The sequence below is a fragment of the Homo sapiens genome, chromosome 7 (genome assembly GCF_000001405.40).
Source record: "Homo sapiens chromosome 7, GRCh38.p14 Primary Assembly".
Classification (NCBI taxonomy): domain Eukaryota; kingdom Metazoa; phylum Chordata; class Mammalia; order Primates; family Hominidae; genus Homo; species Homo sapiens.
The window spans coordinates 138,149,138-138,173,971 of NC_000007.14; the positions used below are offsets into that span (position 1 = coordinate 138,149,138).

At 40.6% G+C, this 24,834-nt stretch overlaps 1 long non-coding RNA gene across 1 annotated transcript, besides 4 other annotated features; it reads left to right on the forward strand.

The window, feature by feature from the left end:
• The first annotated feature begins 12,635 nt into the window (after window positions 1-12,635).
• On the forward strand, window positions 12,636-16,348 carry LOC107986749 (uncharacterized). The gene is made up of 3 exons (XR_001745033.3): window positions 12,636-12,771; window positions 14,239-14,365; window positions 15,107-16,348. It is a non-coding gene; the product is annotated as an uncharacterized LOC107986749 (long non-coding RNA).
• Window positions 14,678-15,877: an enhancer, noted in NCBI's record as "MED14-independent group 3 enhancer chr7:137848561-137849760 (GRCh37/hg19 assembly coordinates)". NCBI's record gives its function as "activates an origin of replication core promoter dependent on BRD2, BRD4, P300/CBP and CDK7 cofactors, and independent of MED14, by STARR-seq in HCT116 cells {active_cell/tissue: HCT116}" and the evidence as "EXISTENCE:reporter gene assay evidence [ECO:0000049][PMID:35650434]".
• Window positions 20,032-20,902: an enhancer, noted in NCBI's record as "OCT4-NANOG-H3K27ac hESC enhancer chr7:137853915-137854785 (GRCh37/hg19 assembly coordinates)". NCBI's record gives its function as "activates a minimal SCP1, AML or CMV promoter by ChIP-STARR-seq in naive H9 embryonic stem cells {active_cell/tissue: H9 hESC(naive)}" and the evidence as "EXISTENCE:reporter gene assay evidence [ECO:0000049][PMID:30033119]".
• Window positions 20,984-21,659: an enhancer, noted in NCBI's record as "OCT4-NANOG-H3K27ac hESC enhancer chr7:137854867-137855542 (GRCh37/hg19 assembly coordinates)". NCBI's record gives its function as "activates a minimal SCP1, AML or CMV promoter by ChIP-STARR-seq in naive H9 embryonic stem cells {active_cell/tissue: H9 hESC(naive)}" and the evidence as "EXISTENCE:reporter gene assay evidence [ECO:0000049][PMID:30033119]".
• Window positions 22,358-22,477: an enhancer, noted in NCBI's record as "active region_26742". NCBI's record gives its function as "activates an Ori minimal core promoter by ATAC-STARR-seq in GM12878 lymphoblastoid cells {active_cell/tissue: GM12878}" and the evidence as "EXISTENCE:reporter gene assay evidence [ECO:0000049][PMID:35858748]".

Genomic DNA, 24,834 nt, shown 5'->3' on the forward strand with positions numbered 1-24,834 from the left:
GAGACAATGCGTGTAAGCACTCAATATGTATTAACTGTTGGTGTTTTGTTGTTGTTGTTTCTTTTAGACAGACTCTCACTCTGTCACCCAGGCTGGAGTGCAGTAGCACTGTCTCGGCTCACTGCAACCTCCACCTCCCAGGTTCAAGCGATTCTCCTGCCTCAGCCTTCCAAGTAGCTGGGACTACAGGTGTGTGCTCCTACACCTGGCTAATTTTTGTATTTTTAGTAGAGATGGGATTTTGCCATGTTGGCCAGGCTGGTCTCAAACTCCTGTCCTCAAGAGATCTTCCCACCTCCGTCTCCGAAAGTGCTGGGATTACAGGCATGAGTCACCACTCCCATCCTTAATAATTATTTATTTTAAAAAATACTCTGGCCAAATTGAAACAACCCCTTGCCAAAGACTAACAGGCTGATACAAAGACATACAGATTTTATTTTCCTGTCTGGAAATATCTTCAATCATCAATAATAATGAAAGCTCACTTTACCAGCAAAAATTTTTTTAATGTATGCAAAGTATTCACATTAATTTGAAACATTTTGTCCACATTATCCTTAAAGCTCTACGAAAAAGGTAAGCTAATGATATTTTAAAGTCAATACTGCCAGCTTTTAAAGGAGCTTACTTTTCCTTGGCTGAAAGTGTTACCACGAGCCTGAATGATAAGGAGAGCTTTACCCTATCTCTATAAACCCTCCCTATATGAAATTGTTACTAAAATTCCCTGAAGATTTTGCTTAAGACTTGTACTGAAAGATTCTGCCTTGTACATTCTGACCTCATTGGTTATCATATTATTTAACTCATATATACTTAATTATATGTGAGAAGACTTCAATCTGGATGAACCTTGAAGACAGTACAATAAGTGAAATAAACCAGTCCCAAAAAGGCAAACACTATAGGATTCTACTGATTGGAGGTTCCTAGGGCAGTCAAATTCGTAGAAACAGGAAGTAAAATGTTGGTTGCCAAGGACTGGAGGGAAGAAGGAATGAGAGTTATTGTTCAATGGGTATGATGTTTCAGTTGGGGAAGATGAAAATGTTCTAGAAATGAATGGTGATATGGTTGCACAACAATGTGAATGTACTTAATGCCACTGAACTTATGCTGAAAAAAGGTTAAAACAATAAATTTCGGCCAGGTGTGGTGGCTCACGCCTGTAATCCCAGCACTTTGGGAGGCTGAGGCGGGCAGATCACAAGGTGAAGAGATCAAGACCATCCTGGCCAACATGGTGAAACCCCGTCTCTGCTAAAAATACAAAAATTAGCTGGGCATCGTGGCGCATGTCTATAGTCCCAGCTACTCAGGAGGCTGAGGCAGGAAAATCGCTTGAATCTGGGAGGTGGAGGTTGCGGTGAGCTGAGATCACATCACTACACTCCAGCCTGGCGACAGAGCAAGACTTTGTCTCAAAACAAAACAAAAAAAACAATAAATTTCATGTTATATATATTTTATAAGAAGAAGAGAAGGAGGAGGAAGAGGAAGGCGGGGAGGAGGAAGAGGAGAAGAACTTAAGATTCTACAACCTCGTATCTACCAAGAGGTTAGTCTGGAAGAAAATGATAAAAAGAAAAAAGTTATGTAACTTTCACATACAAACTTGCTGGAAATCTGACCCTGGAACCCACTTAAAAGCCCCAGAAACAGACCACTGCCAATGCAGACAACATCTGTGAATTCTGTGATTTAAGATCGTGTGACTCAAGATGACATCCAGTGTAGACAAAGTCCTGCCAAGGTCTTTGAATCAAGATTTATGATCAGGGTAAGGGATTTACACTTGAACTCAGGTCTTACTATTTATTGCATCTTCTTTTTTTTTCCATTTTTCCTTTCATGCTAATCCTTCTGGCATCTGAACCACTATCCATTCCCAACTGTTGAATTTGTTTTCTAGACTTTTGAAGTATTTAAAATAAAGCCTGATGTCAAAGGTTGTCAAAAGGGAGCTAAGATGCTGAATTTCACTGGTTTCTAAGAAAGATTCTACTGTGGCAAGATGTTTCAAAACCAGAATGTATGACCCATAATTTACCTCTGATCAACCAAATAACAGTTAAAATACTCAATTAAGACACACACACACAGACACACACACACACAGCAGCTTATTGAACTAAACTTGGGGAAACTACTCTCTTTGATAAGCCATAAATTCCCAATGTTTCTCATAATATTTGCTCCCTCCTCCATTGCCTAAGAGCCAGGTGCTAACATGTTGCTACACACACCATTGACAATTGATAAAATTGACAATTGATGAAACTGTGTCAAGGCTGTGTCAAGAAGAGACTAGGCCGGGTGCAGTGGCTCACACCTGTAATGTCAGCACTTTGGGAGGCCAAGGCGGGCAGATCACTTGAGGTCAGGAGTTTGAGACCAGCCTGGCCAACATGGCGAAACCCCGTCTCTACTAAGAATACAAAAATTAGCCAGGCGTGGTGGCAGGCGCCTGTAGTCCCAGTTACTCAGGAGGCTGAGGTAGGAGAACTGCTTGAACCTGGGAGATGGAGCTTGCAGTGAGCCAAGATCATGCCGCTGCACTCCAGCCTGGGAGACAGAGTGAGACTCTGTCTCAAAAAAAAAAAAAAAAAAAAAAAAGGAAGAGACTGACTCCTCATGGCCAAACCTGTTCCACTTGGAGCTTGTTTGACCAAAATGGAGGAATTGAGAAATTCCTATGAGGAAAGTAGCACAGCCCTGGCCCAGCTGAGGAAGAGATGCTCACAGAAGGACCTGACAGACGTTATACTAGAGACCACATGGCATGCACACCACGAGTAAAATTCCCAAAGCCATCTGGAAAAGCCACAAACTTATGAAATTCTGACTACAGGTCAGCCTTCTCAAGGACAAAATGTCCAGGCTGACCCCTCTACTAGCTGCCAACTAGCTTTCCAAATGGAGAAGTAGAAGTATATTGCAATAAGATTTTTAACAATGAATGTGAAGTTGTTTGATGATAGCCTGTTTTAAGTTAAATATGCACAGGGGAAACTCTGGAACAATCTTTTAGTGCAGTGGAATGATCACAACTCACTATAGCCTTGACCTCTGGGCTCAAACAATCCTCCCACCTCATCTCCTGAGGCACGTTCCACCACACCTAACTAATTTTTTTTTTTTGGTAGACAAGAGGTCTTACTATGTTTCCCAGGCTGGTCTCAAACTCCTGGGCTCAAACAATCTTCCTGCTTTGGCTCCCAAAGAACTGAGATTACAGGCGTGAGTCATTGTACCTAACCACAGTCATTTTTTTCAAAAAACAAGTATAGCTAATAAATCAATAGTGGAGATACATGGGATCACAAAAATATTTACTTAACCCAAAAGTAATCCCACTTGTAATCCCAGCACTTTTGGGAGGCTGAGGCAGGAGGATCACTTGAGGCCAGGAACTCAAGACCAGCTAGGAAAATGTAGTGAAACCTCAACAACAAAATTTTTTTTTAAGTTAGCTGGGTGTGCTGGCACACACCTGTAGTCCCAGCTACTCAGGAGGCTGAGGTAGGAGGATCCCTTGAGTCCAGGTGTTCAAGGCTGCAGTGAGATATGATCGCACCACTGCACTCCAGCCTGGGTAATGGGGTGAGACACTGTCTCTAAAAATAAAATTAAAATGCCAAAAGTACCAAAATAATAATAATAATGTGACATAAACTAAAGCATATGATTAACTCAGCCCTCTGTACATGAAGTCCAACCAAGAAATATATATACATAATAAAATATTATCTAGTCAGATCTGTTAGAGGCTTTTTTTAGACATTCTGGCTTTTCTATGCTATTCTAAAATTATATATATATGGCCTCTATTTTTTCTGATTAGTTCTAATTGTTTGGCTTTTTGTTTTTAAATTTAGACCCTTAATTCATCTGAAAATATTTTTGCATCTGCTATGCAATATAGTCATAACTATATTTTTTAAATAGAGATCCAGCTGTCCCAATGCCATTTTTTTTTCTTTTGAGACAGAATTTCGCTCTTGTTGCCCAGGCTGGAGTGCAGTGGCGTGATCTCACCTCACTGCACCCTCCACCTCCCGGGTTCAAGCGATTCTCCTGTCTCAGCCTCCCAAGTAGCTGGGATTACAGGCACGCGCCACCATGCCCAGCTAATTTTTGTATTTTCAGTAGAGACAGGGTTTCGCCATGTTGGCCAGGCTGGTCTCAAACTCCTGACCTCAGGTGATCCACCCACCTCACCCTCCCGAAGTGCTGGGATCACAGGCATGAGCCACGTGCCCGGCCCCAATACCATTTTTACTCAAGGGGCCATCCTTTCCTCACTGATTGTAAATGGCCCATTTATCATACATTTCACTCCCATTTGTACATAGGTCTATTTCTGGGTTATTTTGATTCCTCTGATATATTTGACACATTCCCCTACCAAAAATACTAATTAGTGTTGCTTTAGAATATAGTTTAGTATCTATTAGGTCCTCCCTCACTATTATTCTTTTTCAAAACATTGTTGGTATAATTACCACTTTTTATCCCTTAAGACGAAAATGGAAACTTTTCAAGATCCCCTCCCAAATGCTGCATGGGGATTCTCTTTGGAATTGCATAGAATTAATACATTATTTTGAGAAACGTGAACAGCTTTTTCATAGTAAATCTTTCCATCTAGAAACATGGTATGTATCTGTGTTCAGCTCTTGTTTTATGTCCTTCAGTAAAATTGCACAGTTTTCCTCACATAAGTGTTCTGCCTTTCTTGCTTAATTTAGCTTTGGGTAATTTATAGATTTGTTGCTGCTGTAAATTTTTTAAATTTCTATTTCTAACGGGGATGTCATTATAAAGAAAAGCTATTGATCTTTTACTATTCACCTTGTAGCTAGAGGTCATTCTAAATTGCCTTTTTATATATAATAGTTTCTTTTTTTAAATCTCAGTATCTTGAATTTTCAATTATCAGACAGTGATAGGTGATTGGTCATTGTTTTCCTTCCAGAGTCCTTCCAGAGTTGGAAATAGACCCATGTACAAATGGGAAAGAAATGTATGATAATTGGGGCACTTACAGTCAGTGAGGAAAGGATGGCCCCTTGAATGAAAATGGCATTGGGACAACTGGATCGCCATTTAAAAAAATATATAAAGTAGGCTGGGTGCAGTGGCTCCCACCTGTAATCCCAGCACTTTAGGAGGCCATGGCGGGTGGATCACCTGAGGCCAGGAGTTTGAGACCAGCCTTGGCAACATGGTGAAACCCTGTCTCTACTAAAAATACAAAAAAAAATAGCCTGGCTTGGTGGTGCGCACCTATATCCCAGCTACTCGGGAGGCTTAGGCATGGATGGCTTGAACCTGGGAGGTGAAGGTTGCAGTGAGCCCAGATCACGCCACTGCACTCCAGCCTGGGCAACAGAGCAAGACTCTGTCTCAAAATAAATAAAATAAAATAAAAAATAAAGTTATGACTATATTGTACGGCAGATGCAAAAATATTTTCAGATGAATTAAAGGTCTAAATTTAAAAACCAAAGGCCAAACAATTAGAACTAATCAAGGAAATGTCTGCCTCTGGCCAGCCACATAGTCAGCCCTTGTCATGTGGTCAGCCCATGTTTGCTCATCCTGCGTGTCTGCAACATTTCATAAACCCCTGACTCCGTGACTATGTGCAGCCCTCCAGAAGAATACCTTGGAGACAATAAGCAGGACAGAGCATAGGTTCCCACGTCTCTTGCCTGAATCACTGCATTTTGAGAAAAGATAAGTTCAATAATCCTGGCACTTGCCTGTTCATAAGATAACATCTGACAGGATTAATGATTCTGCCTCTGTCATCTATAACCAGATGTACTCTTGCACCCAAACTTTGCTGAGATGTTGCCCTAATGTAACTTCTGAGCACATTTGACTTCACTCATGAGCACATGCAGAACCTCTACCACTTGCTATATAAACTGTGGACTGAAATACAGCTTTGAGCAGTCTAACTGAAACTCTGAAAGACTCTCCCACATTGCAATGCTCAGTAACTCTAAATAAAACTGTAACTTTAATTCTTTAAAAGTCTGATTTTTCTTTAGTTGACCAGAGTATCAGGGGAAAAAAAAGGAAATTTAGATTCAAACTATTCTTATTTTATTTTACACACACACAGTGAGCAGAATGTTTACAGTATTGTTTAAAAATTGGAAAAATGTTAAAAATTTACTTTACTGATGTATAAGGTCAAGGCTGTATCCAGAAGCAAATATAAACAAATATGGCAGATCACGAGGTCAGGAGATCGAGACCATCCCGGCTAAAACGGTGAAACCCCGTCTCTACTAAAAATACAAAAAATTAGCCGGGCGTAGTGGCGGGCGCCTGTAGTCCCAGCTACTTGGGAGGCTGAGGCAGGAGAATGGCGTGAACCCGGGAGGCGGAGCTTGCAGTGAGCCGAGATCCCGCCACTGCACTCCAGCCTGGGCGACAGAGCGAGACTCCGTCTCAAAAAAAAAAAAAAAAAAAAAAAACCAAATATAAACATAATGAAAGGAGGTATTCAGGGGAAAAATGATATATATATAAAATTAAGCAGGTTCTATGGGCCAGGCACAACATAGGAGCTTAAAATTTGATAAGAAAGGCCGGGCGCGGTGGCTCACGCCTGTAATCCCAGCACTTTGGGAGGCCGAGGCGGGCGGATCACGAGGTCAGGAGATCGAGACCATCTTGGCTAACACAGTGAAACCCCGTCTCTACTAAAAATACAAAAAATTAGCTGCGCGTGGTGGCAGGCGCCTGTAGTCCCAGCTACTCAGGAGGCTGAGGCAGGAGAATGGCGTGAACCTGGGAGGCGGAGCTTGCAGTGAGCCGAGACTGCGCCACTGCACTCCAGCCTCGGCGACAGAGCAAGACTCCGTCTCAAAAACAAACAAACAAAAAATTTGATAAGAAAAGGGTTAATAATTTTAAATTGACTAGGCACAGTGGCTCATGCTTGTAATCCCAGCACTTTGGGAGGCCAAGGCAGGAGGATCTCTTGAGGTCAAGAGTTTGAGACCAGCTCTGGCAACATAGTGAGACCCCACCTCTACACACACACAAAAAAAATTTAAAAATTAAATTATGTTAAATAAGATAAATGTACATAAATTTATACCAATAAGCAACATTATATAAACTACAGGCAATCATCCCTTTGCATGATAGTGTGGGACTGCAAAAAAAAAGGCTGCAAGCTAAAACCATGCAAAACAGTCATAATAATCAATGGGGAAAGTTACAACTGTCTGTGATGTTTAAATTTTTGTTGAAACATTAAAAACTTTCTTTTTCTTGATTATAAATGTATAGTGAAATGGGAAAAAAGTACAACTAATATTTAATCAGCATACTATAAAATTTTAGAAACATTGAAAATTAAACTGCTTTATTTCCTTGTAAAAAATATATCAAGAGTAGTCTGAAAAGTTTTTGCCTTTTTCTCATATAATTTATGATACAATACAAACATCTTTTCTATGCTTTGAAGAACTGTCATACTCTTTTCTAAGTTTGAATCAGACACCAACATTTTATCCTTCATGCTTTCAATGTCATAAAATATCTCTGAGAATTCCTTTAATGCAAAGTTTTTTTGCTGCTGTCACTTCCTCTGGAAGATCTTCATCCTTTTTCTTATAAATATTTTTCTTCAATTTGTCAATAAAGTCACCTTCACCAAATGCCCCTGACTGCCTGTGTAGTCAGGCATTCAACATTCTGTCAACAATTTCATCTATAACTCCATTTATGTTGGACTCAAATTTCACATCTAGCATTATCATTCATTGGGTTTTTTTTTTTTCTGCATTCATCTTTACCGACCAAGTCCCTATTTCAATTGTTCATTTTTGTGGAATATTGTGTGGGTTTATCACCAGGAGACAGAGAAGCAACACAGCTACATGCCTTGCTGCCTGTGTGTGAATGGAAGAACAGGTACACAGAGACCATAACACAACCCAAGTGTCCCTAGATGGATAAATGGATAAACAAAATATGGTATAGTCATACAATAAAATATTAATTAGCCATAAAAAGGAATAAAGTTGGGTGCATACTACAATATAGATGAACCTTGAAAACATTATGCTAAGACACCAGTCACAAAGACTACACATTGTATGATTCCATTAACATGAAATATTCAGAACAGGCAAATCCATAAAGACAGAAAGTAGATTAGTGGTAGCCTAGTGTAGAGAGATTCAGGGAAACAGGGAGTGACTGCTAATTAGTATGAGTTTGAGAAGCGATTAAAATGTTCTAAAATGTATAATGATGATGGCCACACAACTCTGTGCAACTAAAAATCATTGAATTGTACACCTTAAATGGGTGATTTGTATATCATATGAATTATATCTTGATAAAGTTGGCATTTAAAAAATCTTATTGCCCATTTAGTTTAAATGTTCTTGGGAGGGAAGGCAGATAACACCTTAGGAAGCTATTCAATGCTCAAGAAAAAAAAATTATGATAAATCGTCGCAGTGAAACACAGAAATTATATGATTACAATTAGAAATTATAACTATAAAGATTAAGGCCAGGCACAGTGGTTCATGACTGTAATCCCAGCACTTTGGGAGACCGAGGTGGCTGGATCACTTGAGGCCGGGAGTTAGAGATCAGCTTGGCCAACATGGCAAAATCCCATCTCTACTAAAAATTTGCCAGGTGTGGTAGTGCTCACCTATAGTCCCAGCTACTCGGGAGGCTGGGGTGGGAGGATTGTTTGAGCCCAGGAGGTGGAGGCTGCCATGAACCGAGATTGTGCCACTGCACTCCAGCCTGGGCAATGGAGTTAGACCCTATCTCAAAAAACAAACAAACAAACAAAAAAACCCAAAAACTATAAAAATTAAAACATGGAAAAGATGCATATAGTATAATGTTAAGTGAAAAAAGTTGAGTGCAACATTGTACCTATACAACAAATTCTAAAGTGTTCCCTGGAATGCAGTTTAATATTGTTACGTTTGCTCTGTTATCACAGGACCTGCAGTTCCTAAATACACTAGGCACTCACTCTTTCTTTCTCATCTCCCCAGATGAAATGATTTGAAACCATGCTATAAAGAGTTATCCTACACATATTGAAATTCCACTTGACATTAATTATACATACATATAAACATACATACACACACACACACACACACACACACACAGAGCCATTCTATTTAAAAGCTGTAAATACAAATTTTATATCAGGGTCTCTGGTTATTTTCAGACTAAAAACACTTCATCTTAAAACGGGATGGCATTCAGAGCTTGGGTAGATTCTAGAAGCAACCTCATGCCAGAATGTGGCTAGCACCTATGCAGACCAAGTCCGGCAGGCAGAAAGAGAAAACAAAATTCTGCTTGCAGGAACTAACTTAAAAAAAAAGAAAAAGAAAAAGAATGTGGCGTCTTTTACACAGGCCAACTTGGATTTGAATGTGTTCTAAAATTCATCGACCATGTGACCTTTTGCGCTACTGAATTTACCTCTCTGTCTCTGAGCTTCAGCTTTCCCCCTGGTAAAATGGGAATAATATCTACCTCAAAGAGTTTCTGTAAAAATCGGGAAAATCAGAGCAAAGCAGCTGGCATAGTACCTCCCTCATAGTAGAGGCTCAATAAATGATAGAGATGTGAGAAGAGGAGCAGCTGTGGTTCAGGTAGTAGGAATAATAGTATTTTTGGTAATCATGGGTGAGTTAATCATTAAAGAGCCAAGGGCCAAATGTCAAGTGGTTAGGTCAGGGGGACAAAACTAGGAGTGTATTCAGGAGATCACCAAGCAAACAAAACAAATATAAAAAATAAGACAGAGGAGGTCACAGTCCCTAGGATGCATTCAGGAATGAAGAAACAGAAAAAATAGGCAAGTGTGCAGGAAGCAAAGCAGATCTTTCTCCAGGAGAACGAAGCTGCACCTGAGGCTGCTTCCGCCAGCATATGTGATTTCTCTTGCCAGTCAGCATCCTCTTCTCAAGGCCTAACAGGATCCTGGCCTATCGCAGGATTTTGCTCTTGTAGGGCAAAGTTTCTTTATATGTGCCAGCTCATTCTATCTCATGCATATTCTGTGAATTCTGTATGTGTGTAGTGGCAGCTAATAGTATTTCCACCTGGACAGAGGGAGGCCAGAGTCCCTGACATTCCCTGCACTGATTTGTCTACTGAGACTAGGTCAATTATCTTCAAAAAGGTATTTGAGGCCAGGTGCAGTGGCTCATGCCTATAATCCCAGCACTTTGGGAGGCCAGGGCAGGAGGATGCCCTGAGCGCAGGACTTTGAGACCACCCTGGGCAACACAGAGAGACCTCGTCTTGACAAAAGATAAGAATAAAAAAGTTATTTGACTACGTCCCTGACATGATCAAGTCTAGTGATTTTCAGACTTTATAGCAACAGAACCCATTCTGAAAGAAAAAGAATTGTATTTGGGACCCCAATAATAAAGAAAAAAAAAACCTATTCTCAATTGACATAATGCATATTTTAAATTCAAATTTATATATTTACAACTTATCATAAAGTCAGTTAATTAGAATGAGGCTGTTTTGAAGAACACCAAAATTAAAAATGATACTGAATGTTATAGCAATCTCTAGAGCAAATTTATTTATTTATTTATTTATATTTATTTATTTTATTTTTTTGAGATGGAGTTTTGCTCTTGTCACCCAGGCTGGAGTGCGATGGTGTGATCTCGGCTCACTGCAACCTCCGCCTCTCAGGTTCAAGCGAGTCTCCTGCCTCAGACTCCCGAGTAGCTGGGATTACAGGCACCCACCACCACACCCAGCTAAGTTTTGTATTATTAGTAGCGATGGGGTTTCACCATGTTGGCCAGGCTGGTCTCAAACTTCTGACCTCAGGTGATCAGCCCACGTTGGCCTCTCAAAGTGCTGGGATTATGGGTGTGAGTCACCACACCTCGCCTTTTTTTTTTTTTTTTTCTAACCTTTTATTTTTTAGAGACAGTCTTGTTCTGTCACCCAGGCTGGAGTGCAGTGGCACGATCTCAGCTTACTGCAGCCTTGACTTCCTGGGCTCAAGTAACCCTCTCACTTTGGGCCCCAAGTAGCTGGGACTACAAGTGCATGCCACCATGCCTGGCGAATTTTTTCTTTTTTTCTTTTTTTAATTGCACAGTACTAAAAAATTCTGACAATATTCAGGAACAGTTGTAAAGAGTAAAAGCTATTTTATTCTTATATTTAAAACCATTTTATTTACTACGTTGATAATTGTTTCCCCAGCAGTGGTAAAAATGACATCAAAATAACAATTTTGCAAGCTCAGATTATTAATATAAAATCAGTAATCAGGCCGGGCGCGGTGGTTCACGCCTGTAATCCCAGCACTTTGGGAGGCTGAGATGGGCGGAACACCAGGTGAGAGATCGAGACCATCCTGGCCAACATGGTGAAACCCTGTCTCTACTAAAAATACAAAAATTAGTTGGGTGTGGTGGCGCACGCCTGTAGTCCCAGCTACTTGGGAGGCTGAAGCAGGAGAATCGCTTCAACCCGGGAGGTGGAGGTTGCAGTGAGCTGAGATCATACCACTGCACTCCAGCCTGGCAACAGAGTGCGGCTCCGTCTCAAAAAAAAAAAAAAAAAAAATCAGTAATCAGCTTTTTAATAGCTGTAGAAATTGGAGAAAAGGATAACCTGAAATGTTTATCTCAAAGTTGAATCACCAGCAATATCCAACACTAGTTGATATTTTTATCATAAATATAAAAATCAAACATGAAGTTCACAAAACATACAATAAAGGCCAAAATTCTTATATTATCGTAACATAGCATATTGTATATTTAGTCACTACTGTGTAACAACTACCCATTCACTGTGGAATACTCTCAAGGAGTCTCAAATGGGTGTTCAATCTCTACCTTATTATTACAAATTTATAACAGATTTCTTTCCATTTAGCAATTTTATAGAATGTCATATATACATATTTAAATATATATAAATTTACATATTATTTATATATAAGCAAAAAATTGGACACAATTCAACGTTAACATAAGGTCATACCACTGTTATTTGCCATACAGCACTTTTAGAAGAAGACAAAATGTTCTAAAGATCAGAGATGGCTGATAATTGATATATCATGTTCTGCAATCATCGTGCCCAGCATTTTGAGTTAGTTGCTGTTGCAATATTATATGATTTGGATATCATATAGGATTTGGAAATCCTATCAGATTTGGATAACAAATTTGCCCTGAAAAGAGAACAAAAAGAGAACAAAAGAGAACAAAAGATGGATCTTTGAAAATGAATATCCATATAGCAGTGTTTCCATGGAAGAATTAGAATGATTGTTTTAAAAGTATTTCTCTTTCCTTTCCCCAGATGAACCTCTACCTTAAGTAATGAGGGTGTCAGCCCCAAAATCTTCTATAGATGAATAAAACAATGCAAACATTTCTGCACATTCAAACCCAGTACTGATTCGAAAGAGCTATGGCCATAGCTCTATCGCCAATCTAGGACACCCAGACCTGCTTTTTCAGGCTGAGAACACCAGGTGGCATATGGTGGCTGAATCAGAGCCTCGGTTACCATGGCAACCAGCTACCCTTCCAGCTCTGCAGCTGCCATCTTTTATCCAAAGCAGTGTTCTGTGCACGCTGGGGGTTTTGCTTTGAAATGGTGGTGCTGTGTGCTGTTCATTCTTCATACAGTCAGGGTTCCTACTTCTGGGCAGGGAATTCAGGTGCCAGAGATAGATAAATACTTCAGGTCAGTAGCATTCATTTTATTTTCTGTGCATTATTTATTGTGTCAACATAAAGTCATCTGCAAACTGATACTTGAGAGGGCCACACCTTTCACAGCAGGCTTTCTCTAGGGAGGCTAGACTTCACTGAAGGGAAATGAATGATGGAGTGAGTGAGTCCTCTCCTGACCAAGGTTAAGAACAAATATGAGTGCCCAGCTCAGTGCTTGAATTGGTTGTAGGTACAATGACCCTGAGATTTGCCTGTACTCTAAGGGATGTCTGCTAGAAATATCACTGATCTATAGACAGAAGACATCTGTTCACCAACCTATTGGGAGGATGTAGTTGACATAAATAGTACCTTCTCACAAAATTTGTTTTGTGTCTGCCATGCAATAATAAACCAAATATTTATAAATTGGAAACTAGCCATTTCCATTTTTATCAGTCAAAAGTAATAAGATTTTCTAAGTTAATCATCAGGCATTGCCCCTGGTGATTGGCATTATATCACACACCCAGCTGCCAAAAGCCATTTTCTTTGCTACTGGGAAGAAAGCTAAAATGAGTAATGTTATCCAAACTTCCCTAAATTCCAAAAAGGCTTTGGACTTGAAGCGGGACTCATTTATAAACACATCTATTTAAGCCTGGTGTTTTTGCTTGCTGTTACAGGGACTATATCATAAATGTGCATTCTTTAGATGAAAGATCCTTCTCATAGAATGACAATTCTGTTAAAAACCCATTATATTATGTCACATGAAAAATGAAAAATTCACATTGTATATGTAACATAATAATAATGAAGGATGAAAGGGAAGAACTTCTGCTTGGAAAAATGACTGAAAACATACAATGAATATTAAAAACTGTGAGGCTTTGAATGGATTTTTTTTCCTCTTTCCACATTTAAGGGCTTTCTACTTCTTAATCAGAACTTATTACTAGGTCATAAACTTATGAAAACATTGAAACATTGTATTTTAGAATGTGTTTTAATTTTCCTATAGCAATTTCATTGCTTTTCACTTATGTTACAAATGTAAAACATTTAGCATTTTATTAGAATCATTTGAAATCATGAACTTCTCAAACAAAATATTTTAATTCATTTAATTGTTAAATAAATTGCAATATGCTTGCTCTAACAGGAAAAAAACTTTTTCAAAATCTATAAATAAGAAACTACTATTAAAACAGTTTTCATTTGATATTCCCTGTGAATTAAAGTATTATTTAAGGGTATCAGAAAGGAAGTATTACATTTAACTTCCAGTCAAACCCAGTTTCTGGTTATTTTATAAAAATATCTATTAATACGAGGAATTTTATATCTTTATCTATATATAGATATAGATACTGATAGATATATATTCATTGAGAAAGCTGCTTATAATTTGAGAATATTAGTCATGGAGTTTTCACACATTTACTGGTTTCGTACTACCACATGTTTTCCTCCTGCCTCTCTTTTCCATCTTTAGCTTAAAAAAGGGAAAGAAGAGGAGGAGGAGGAGGAAGAGGAGAAGGAGGAGGAGGAAGCAGAGAAGGAGGAGGAGGAGGAGAAAAGGATTTGAAGAAATTGAATCAGTTCTGGAACAGCAGACACAGGTAACCCATGCAAGTTAATCATTTGGGACACTTTATAAATGATTGTCCACCGTTGATTGACAAGAGCCTGTGTCACTGACTGGAAAGGATAGAGGAGGGTCACTGATGAAAGCACCCTGCTCATTCTCCTCCAGGGCTGCTCCACTGTGGTGACCCCAGCATTCAACACCACACTCAGCATAGTGAATTTCTGTGGGACTATTAAGAATTATGGTTCTAGAAACATACTTAATAATATGAAAACATGTTCAAATTATGTCATTATGTGTGAGAAAAATTATGATACTGAGATAGATGACAAACCCTCAATGAGGTTCTCAATGATTAAGAACCATCATCTCTGTCATCAATTAATTAGCTCAAGTGTAAGTATTTTCTGATTTTTTCTTACACATTGCAAATATTTTCTGCCAAATTGTTGTTTGTGTGCATTGGGAAGTGGGATGGGGGGGTTGTAGAGACAGGTGTCTCACTGTGTTGCCCAGGCTGGTCTTGAGCTCCTGGACTGAAGAGATCCTCCTGCTTGGCTTCTCAAAGCGCTGGGATTACAGGTGCAAGCCACTGCACCCAGCCAAACTGTGGCTTTTTAACAACATTTTGTTTGTTTTCTTTTTTTTCCTCTTTTTTTTTCCCTTTTAACAACATTTTTAATGATATCTTTTGTCATTGCTTAATATTTTGCTTTTATCTAATTAAGTTGCTCAATCTTTTCTTTTTCTAACTCTGGGTTTCATGTTGAAGGAATTCAGGACATGCTACCCCAAAATGTGAAAACTTGGCATTTGAGAAGACAGCAGAAGCAGGAAGGTCACGCTCACTACCTCCCCCACAATGCTCTACTCCCCTGAAACAGATCATAAAACCTAGGAAGGATTTCCTGACCATCCCCTCAAGTAGGTCTTATGACCCTCATGTGAGAGGTGCCCTCCCTATACCCAGAAGATAGCAACATCCTCATTTCTGAAGATACAAGGACAAAGAGAAGAGTTTGAACAAACGGCTTCCTAAGTTCTCCCCAGTTTATTAACATTATGTTACAGTCTCACCAACGCACCGCAATGTAGCAGTCTCTCGTTTGAGGTATCACCCTGAGTTCTCGGTCTCACAACCATGACAATTAAGGAACATGATCACCAAGGGTGAGGTTGGAGTGGAAGTTTAATAAGCAAAAGAAGAAAGTTCTCCACCACAGAAAGGGGCCCAAAAGAGGGTTGCCATTTTTACAGTTGAATGCAAAGGCTTTTATAAGAAACCAGTTAGAGCTGGGCATCTCATTTGCATGAGATGCGAATTTCTGGTAGCTCCACCCCATCCTCCTAATGCACATGTAGGCCCTTAGCTTGAGTTACTCCGTATTGCTTTGTTGCCCTTACTGCACATGTGTCAGGGGATGGAATTTTCCATTACGGGCATGTCTGGGCAAGTCACCTGTGTAGGCTTTCTTATCTGTGTGGCTGTGGGCATGTCTTAGGCAAGTGCCGCTGTGCAAGTTCCCTTATCTGTGCCTGCAGCTTGATTTTTCTGGCTGTTCTTTTGTTTGAAAAGATTCAACCAAGGACCCACCATAACTGCCTGCCTGACTGGTTTCTTCCTCCTTCCTCTCTCAATGATATCATTCTCCCTTTGTTCAATCATATTTCTTCATCAAACCTAGCATAAAGAATATACAAATTTATGCATTTGGGGGAGGTCTTCCTTTCCTTATGAAGGCTTCCATACCACGTATAAATAATATGTGTATGATTTTCTCTTGTGAATCTGTATTTTGTTATAGGGGCCTCAGCCATGAACCTAGAGATTAGTGAGCAAAAATTATTTTTTTCTCAAGTGTTTCTTGCTTGAGATGATTTTCTTATCCCCAAGATTAAAATATTATGTGTTTCTTCCATGATTTTTATGGTGTTTATATCTATTTCTTTAATCTTTCTAGAATGTACTTTTGTACATGCTGAAAGGTAGAATTAATTTTGCAAAAAGGAAAAAGCTACTTGCTACTTTTACTATAATTATAATTATATAATTATTATTAAGGTTTTTTCTTTCTTCTTTCTTTTTTTTTTTTTTTTTTTTTTTTTTTTTTTTTTGAGATAGGGTCTCACTCTGTCACCCAGGCTAGAGTGTAGTGGTGCAATCTGGGCTCACTGCAACCTCTGCCTCCCAGGTTCAAGTGATCCTCCAAACTCAGCTTCCCAAGTAGCTGGGACTACAGGCATGTGCCACCACAATTATTATTTCATTAGACCCTCTCTGGATCTTGTTCCATCTCTAATATCTCTGCCAAATGCTCCGAATCAGGTAGATATATTTAAATTCTAGCTGGTGCAAAGAAGGAATAATTTGAAAAAGAAGAAATAATTTTAATGCACATGCAAGTAATATACGTATTCATCTAGTTACTTGCATGCATTTGTGGCCAAAAGCCATGAATCATATAAAGAAGTAGCTGCAGCCAGGCACGGTAGCTCATGCCTGTAATCCTAGCACTTTGGGAGGCCAAGGGCGGGGGAGGGGGTGGATTACCTGAGGTCAGGAGTTCGAGACCAGCCTGGCCAACATGGTGAAACCCTGTCTTTACTAAAAATACAAACATTAGCTGGTCATGGTGGTGGGTGCCTATAATCCCAGCTACTTGGGAGGCTGAGGAGAATTGCTTGAACCCAGCAGATGGAGGTTGCAGTGAGCTGAGATTGTGCCACTTTACTCCAGCCTGGGTGAAACAGCAAAACTCCATCTCAAAAAAAAAAGTAGCTTCAATGCTGTTTTCAAGATACTTAAGCCAATTTGGTCATACACCCTTATTAGTTGCTTTATGATTAGCTCTCCAAAGCTTCCAGTAATTAGAATTTGGTGACAACCATAGAGACTTCAATTCCAAATGGTATGTTATAATGAAAGCAAATTTCAGACCTCATTCAGCCATGGGTATAAATATGTATTAGCAATCAGGCCCTCCAAATAGTCATACTACCCGTTTTATAAGCTTGATGAAGTCTTAGCTCTCTGACCTTTCAGTGTTCCCACAGAACCTTATGAGCGTCAGAGACAGGAGGACCATGTTCCAGCTTTGGAGCAGGATTAACTAACTCTCAAATGAGAGTCAGGTGAAAAATTCTCTCACTACAGTCTAGAATTTCAAGCCTGGAGAGATAATTCAAACAGTCTAGAATTTCAAGCCTGGAGACATAATTCAAAATGAATAGACAGGCTAGCTGGACTTTTACACCTCATTTATGCAAAGGCAAGAGTATCCATAAGACATTTTTATCCAATCCACATAAAATTGAATTCATTTTACCAGTAAAAAATCATTTCTAACATCCCTTATGCTAATTAACAAACCCCCTGGGATTGATATGAGATAAAGACGACTGGAGCCATAATCTAATCCTTCTGGAATGTGGCTTCTGAATGGAGAATTTCTTTTTTTGTGTGTGAGATGAAGCCTCACTTTGTTGCTGAGGCTGGAGTGCAGTGGCACGATCCCGGCTCACTGCAACCTCTGCCTCCCAGTTTCAAGCGATTCTCCTGCTTTAGCCCCCACCAAGTAGCTGAAATTACAGACATGAACCCAATGCCTAGCTAATTCTTTTTTTGAATTTTTAGTAGAGACGGGGTTTTGCCATGTTGGCCAGGCTGGTCTCGAACTCCCGACTTCAAGTGATCCACACCCACCTTGGCCTCACAAAGTCCCGGGATTACCTGCGTGAGCCACCAAGCCAAGCCTGAACTGACAATTTCAAATATTAACCTACCATCCAGGAGTATATTTTTCCTGAGAGAGTTCAGAAATATCACCCCAAAATATGCAGCATTGGTATGCTGATTACTTCAAACTGAAGTCATTTGGGAAATGCCAAACGCACAGAGGGGCTTTTCCTGAATTTCCCTTATCTGACTAAGTGCAGATTCTCCAGAAGGAAGCCAATTGTCAAGAAATGCTTCCTGGGGATTTTTATCTATCCGTGAAGATTAACACACAACAGAAGTCAAACCTAGAAAAAGCTGGAGGTTAGCACCTCCTACAGACAGGATATAACCTATTCTTCTGAAGGCTGATTCGTACTTTTCATAATCATTTACTCTCCCTAGGTTGCCTACATACTCCCCTTCCCTCTCTCTTATGAAGGGAATATAAAAGCTTTTAGGTCTCATTGAGTTATTGGGTAGTTTCTTAACTTCCATGTGATGCCTTTCTGCATGTTAATAAAATGTATATATATATTTTTTTCTCCTTTTAATCTGTCTATTGCCAGCTTATTTCCCCAGACTTTCAGCCTCAAATCTTCAGAATGGAGGAGAGGACTTCCTTCACCCATATATCCAAATTATGTAACTCCCTGATGGGTTCTCCTTGCCTGCTGCACACACAAAATCAACTCTCTGAGACCATGCCATTGCAGTAAAGAAAAGAGTTTGATTGACACAAGGCTGGCCACACCACACAGGAGACTGTTATCACTCAACTCAATCTCCCCAAAGGCTCAAAGATTAGGGTTTTTCCCAGGATCTTTTGATGAGCAGGGGCCTAAGGTAGGGGCATACTGATTGGTTGGGTCAGAGATGAAATCATAGGGAATCAAAGCTGCCCTCTTATGGTGGGTAAGTTCCTGGGTTGGGGCCACAGGACTGGTTGGCAGGTCCAGGTGGGGCCATCCATTGTCAGAAATGCAAAAACCTGAAAAGACATCTCAAAAGGCCAGTCTTAGTTTCTACAATAGTGATGTTGTCTGCAAGAGTAATTGGGGAAGTTGCAAATCTTACGACCTCCATAATAATGGCTGGTAATTATTTAGAATTTAAGCCCCTCTCATCCTCCTAACTTCATGGCCTTTCATTAGTTTTACAAGAATCGTTTAGTTTTGGGGGAAGGTTATTATCATTTAAACTATAAACTAAGTTTCTCCCAAAGTTATCTTGGCCCACACCCACGAATGAGCAAAGCCAGCCAGCCTGTGAGGCTAGAAGCAAGATGCAGTCAGCCACGTCCAATTTCTCTGTCATACTTTTGCAAAGCCAGTTTCAGTCAGGGCTCTTCAAATGCCCAACTAACTATTCCTAAGTAAAGAATGAAAGCAACTAGAACACATCACACCACACTATCCATGCTGAAGCATTTTAAAGTAAACGTAAAGATAATCTAATGTACAGACACCTTCATTTTTCCCATGGTGATTTCTCTGGGATATTGTTTTGTATTTCCCTGTCTGACTTGTGGCAACATCTGTATTTCTGTAATTATAAAAGGTAAGACTCACTATTTGACTTTGAGAGGAACATTTGAGACGGCACGGTGGCTCAAGCCTGTAATCCCAAAGCTTTGGGTGGCCAAGGCAGGTGGATCGCCTGAGGTCAGCAATTCAAGAACAGCCTGGCCAACATTGTGAAACCCCATCTCTACTAAAAATATAACAATTAGCCAGGTGTAGTGGTGCATGTCTGTAATCCCAGCTACTCTGGAGGCTGAGGCAGGAGAATCGCTTGAATCTGGGAGGTGGAGGTTGCAGTCAGCCAAGATTGTGCCACTGCACTCCAGCCTGGGTGACAGAGTGAGACTCAGTCTCAAAAAAAAAAAAAAAAAGAACATTTGATTAAGGCCTGGGGATTGCTATGGGAGCCCAAATCCACTTTTGTCTTAGCCTCAGCCATTATGAATAACAAACACCCTCTTCTCAACAGTCTGTGATTCCCATGGGGAGGCTGGATGTTGGGAAAGCTGCCTCTCTCAGTTTGGCTTATTTGTTGGCTTATCAGAATCTTCTAAAGGAAAAGACCTCTCCTGTTCTTTCTCCTAGGAGGAAAAATTACTAGTCATCTTCCCAAATGTAGCACCCTTAGATTGCATTCCCATAAAGATTTCTCTCTAGCTTCTGTATTTTCTCACCCTGTTGACCTTAATCAGTAACAAAGGCTTTTATAATACTACTACTGCATTGCCCCCGACCTCAAGTTTAGAAACTCCTTAGCTCCCTTGCCTCTGGGCAGGTCTGTCTATTGCATTGCACAAAAGAAGAAGAAAGAAAGAGTAGAGAAAGGAATGTCTAGCCCTAAGCTTTCTTTTGCATTTGTATGCTTGGTGGCCTCGGAATCCCCCAAAGCAGTCAAAGGTAAATAATCCTTTGGTCTTTTCTTCCTTTGTTCTCTGAACTGAGACTTTACTCCCGAGGAGATTTTCTTCTCAGATTAGACTTGGAGAGGTCTTTTTTTTTCTCCTTTGCTTAGATGATTTGAACTGATAATTTGCATCTACAAAGGCAACTGAGAAATACTGAATGACTAACACTCCCACAGAAGACTCTGTGGAGGCGCTCCATTCTGTAATCTTTCCTCTGCTCCAGGAGACCTCCAAAGTAAATGGAAACCAAAAAGCAACATTTTCAGGGCCAAGTTTATTTTAATATTGTCTCTGGATACTTCTCTTTACAATCAATCAGGTTTTAAGTCACCAACCTTAAAACCAGCACTCCTCTCCTCTGGTTTAAAAAAAAAAAATCAGATAATTTTAACAAAAATAAACAAACAAGACATAGGATTTTAAAAAAATTAACTCCCTATTACAAACAAAAGAAGGGCAATGTAGTAAAGGCTCAAGCGAAAATCTCAGCCCAGCCCACCCCACCCCTAATAGAGTTCCTCCATAAAGCATAGATTTTTTTTTGTAGCAAAATATATATGCACTTTATTCTCAGTGAGGTAAAGGAAAGCATTACTTTTCTTTGTTAAACCAGAATAGACTTTCCTAAGAGAAATAATACGACAAAACTCACTGCAACTGAAATAAAACATATAAAATGAAGAGATGACAAAGATGAAAGGAAAGCAAGCATTACCAAGGAAATCAGAACAAATGGAACAGAAGCAAAATCAAAGTTATCATACCCCCGCCAAAAAGAAATCCTATCAAAAGAAAACAGATAATGGATTGTGAAAGATCACCATACTGTGGGGGAGGGGGACGTGAACAAAGAACAGTGCTCACACATACCTTGGGAATAGTTTTAAATTCCAAACACAAAGGCAGCAGGGACCCTGCAGATGTGAATAAGCCAGCAGCTTTCTATTGAAGAATTTATGAGGTTCTCTTAGACCCTTCATCTAGCACCTAATAACAGTGCCACCTTTGCCTGAAAACTATCCTGCCTCCCTCAAGCATAGCCATCAAACACATCATAAAAGGAGAGCTTCAGGCTTCAGGAAACACCAGATAATGACAGAATTCTGTGAAAATCAGAAAGTATTAGCTTTGATTTCGTCAGGCTGACAGTACCGATAGACATGTAAGTTACACTTGTATTTAATAAGAAGCTTGATGAAATTCAAAATACTGAGCTGGCCATTCTCTTTCTCAGTGCAATTGAGAGTCGGCTAGAGAACATTTGCCTTCTGGTGATAATTATGTCGTTAAAAAAGAATCAGGCAAGACAAAAATGTTTCCAATTGAACATATATGTTTGCCACTGTTCATCTACAAATTTCACTAAGAATAATAGTAAAGTAGTAGGACTCATAAGCCCAAATGGCCAAAGAGAATAGGAGTGCGGAGGACAAAAGGCATCAACCCAAAACTGGGAGCTGGAATGAAGAGGAAAGATTGGCAACTGGTGTAACAGACCAGAGAGCACTGTTAAAATAATTTAATAGGAGGCAGTTAGGGGTGGCTCTGAAGTCCTAGGTTCCTACATGAGCAAACCAAAACCTAACCCAAATACATCTGTTTGTGTGTTTGTTTGTCTGTGTGTTTGTTTGTTTAAATAGAGACAGAGTCTCAGTATGTTCCCCAAGCTGGTCTTGAGCTCCTGGACTCAAGTGATCCTCCCAATTCAGCCTCCCAAGTAGCCAGGACTACTGGCATAAGCCACTGCACTGGGCTCTCTTTTGTAAGTGACTAGCTTAAAGGAAAATGAAACTGAAGCTTAACCACTCTGAAACTGCCATCTAACCTCAAACTCGAACTACTTTCCACTGGAATGATCCAAATATGGCTACTGCTCCACTTTCACCTACCAAATATTGTCTTGCCCTGGTTCCACATTTACCTTATAAAAGCCTTTCACTCCTGCGTCTTCTGTCCGGTACTGTGATCTGGAGCTGTCCAACCCACGCACTGCTGTTTGTTCAAGTAAACTCTTTAAAATTTTAATGTGACAGCCAAGCACAGTGGCTCATGCCTGTAATCCCAGCACTTTGGGTGGCAAAGGCGGGCGGATCACCTGAAGTCAGGAGTTCGAGACCAACCTGGCCAACATGGTGAAACCTCGTCTCTACTAAAAATACAAAAATTAGCCAGGCATGGTGGTGCAAGCCTGTAATCTCAGCTATTCAGGAGGCTGAGGCAGGAGAATCACTTGAACCCAGGAGGTTGCAGTGAGCCGAGATGGCACCACTGCACTCCAGCCTGGGTGACAGAGTGACACTCTGTCTAAAATAAAATAAATTAATCTGCCTCAGTTTATCTTTTAGCAGTTCTGAAATCAAAGTGCCTAAAAGGAGTCCACCCGGATATGTGGAAGCAAGAGGGAGTTAATGACAATGGATTCACAATGCTGAAGCTCGAAAATTCTGGGAATTTGAGGCCCCAAGACACCCCATAGGTGGGGTACAGGTGGGTCAAAAAACAGGAGAATTGCTAGAATCTGTTTGTAAAGTAATGGGATGAAGCAGGAAGGCCATAGCCAAAACAGTGATGACTCCTGTGTACAGAGCTGGCCTGCATGGGAGCCGCTGCATAGCCATGGCTCAGAGCTACCTGGCAGAGAGTGACTCAGAGATGGAAAGAGCCCCAAACTCCTATTCTGAGTCACCTGAAGATGGCGGAACTTGGAAAGCCACCCTTAGACCACAGCTGAGCCTGAGTCCTGCATAGGGGTGACCCCAAAATGAAATCAATAGGAAGATATTATGGCCAGAAACATGCAGGCCTGTCAGATTTTCATTCTGATAGTGTGGTATTAGGTTTCTGCCTATAGGTCCTGGCTCATAACTCCCATAACCCTTGTTTCAGTAAACAGAATCTTGCTCTCCGGCTGGGCGCAGTGGCTCACGCCTGTAATCCCAACACTTTGGGAGGCCAAGGCGGGCGGATTACCTGAGGTCAGGAGTTCGAGATCAACCTGGGTAACACGGTGAAACCCTGTCTCTATTAAAAATACAAAATTAACTGGGCGTGGTGGCACATGCCTGTAATCCCAGCTACTTGGGAGGCTGAGGCAGGAGAATCACTTGAACCTGGGAGGCGGAGGATGCAGTGAGCCGAGATCGCACCATTGCACTCCAGCCTGGGCAACAAGAGTTAATCTCTATCTCACCAAACAACAACAACAAAAAAGCCAGAATCTTGCTCTCTGACCTTCTCCTTGACCTCTTTGCACCTGCCCAAGGCAGAACTCTCATGTGACTATGGGTCATGAGACCCTCATTTCAGAAGGGGTTCTGCCCTGTACTCTGGAAGAAGGAATACTGCCCATAGAGGCCAAGAAGAATCTGAACAGACAGGCCTTACTGGGTTTGGATCATACCCTGTTATTCAATCACATCTCTACATGGCTGTCAATTATGCCTATCCAATGAAGTCTTCATAAAAGGCCCAAGAGGACTGGCTTTGGAGAACCTCCAGGTACCTGAAAACATGGAGGTTCCTAGAGGGTGATGAACCCAGGGAAGCCTGGAAGCTCTGCACCCCTTCTCACATGCCTTTCCCTATGCATCTCTCCATCTGTACCCTTTGTAAGAACCTCCATAATACGCCAGTACCTGTAAATGTTTCCCTGAGTTCTGTGAACTGCTCTAGCAAATTAACTGAACCCGAAGAGGGGGCTGCGGAAACCCCAACTTGAAGCTGATTGGTCAGAAGTTTCTGGAGGCCTGAACTTGCAACTGGTGTCTGAAGAAAGTCAGGGTGGGGGCACACAGTCTTGTGGGACTGAGCCCTCAACATGTGGGATCTGAAGCCATCTCCAGGAAGATAGCACCAAAAGTGACTTGAATTAAAAGACACTCAGCTGGTGTCTGTTTCTTAGGGTATGGGGGAAAACCCACGCACATTTGGTCGCAGAAGTCTTCTCTGTTGTGGTGGTGGTGGTGTGAGGAAAAATGATTTGAGTTTTTCAAACAAATATGTAAAGAGTTTGGAAGTCATCACTCCCATCCTTACAACAAGAAAAGATGCTGTACAGACTAAATTTCAGCAATTCTTCTCAGAACCATCAGAGAACTTAGGTCACAGAGCAAACTCCCACATCAAAAGCTGGAGAGACAGGTGAATCACAGCTTACTAGGAGCAGAAGCTGACAGAGATGAAGCCTGTGGGAACATTTAAACTGTAACTGACTAAGTGCTGGAGGTTGAGTGTGGACCAGCCTGCGAGTTAAAAACTATTATGGGCTCAATCTCAGGCACACCGTCCCACCCCCCTGCCCTCCCGCCCCTGATACTTTCATGAGTTTTCCTCCGGAAGTCCCATTAGGTTCTTACAA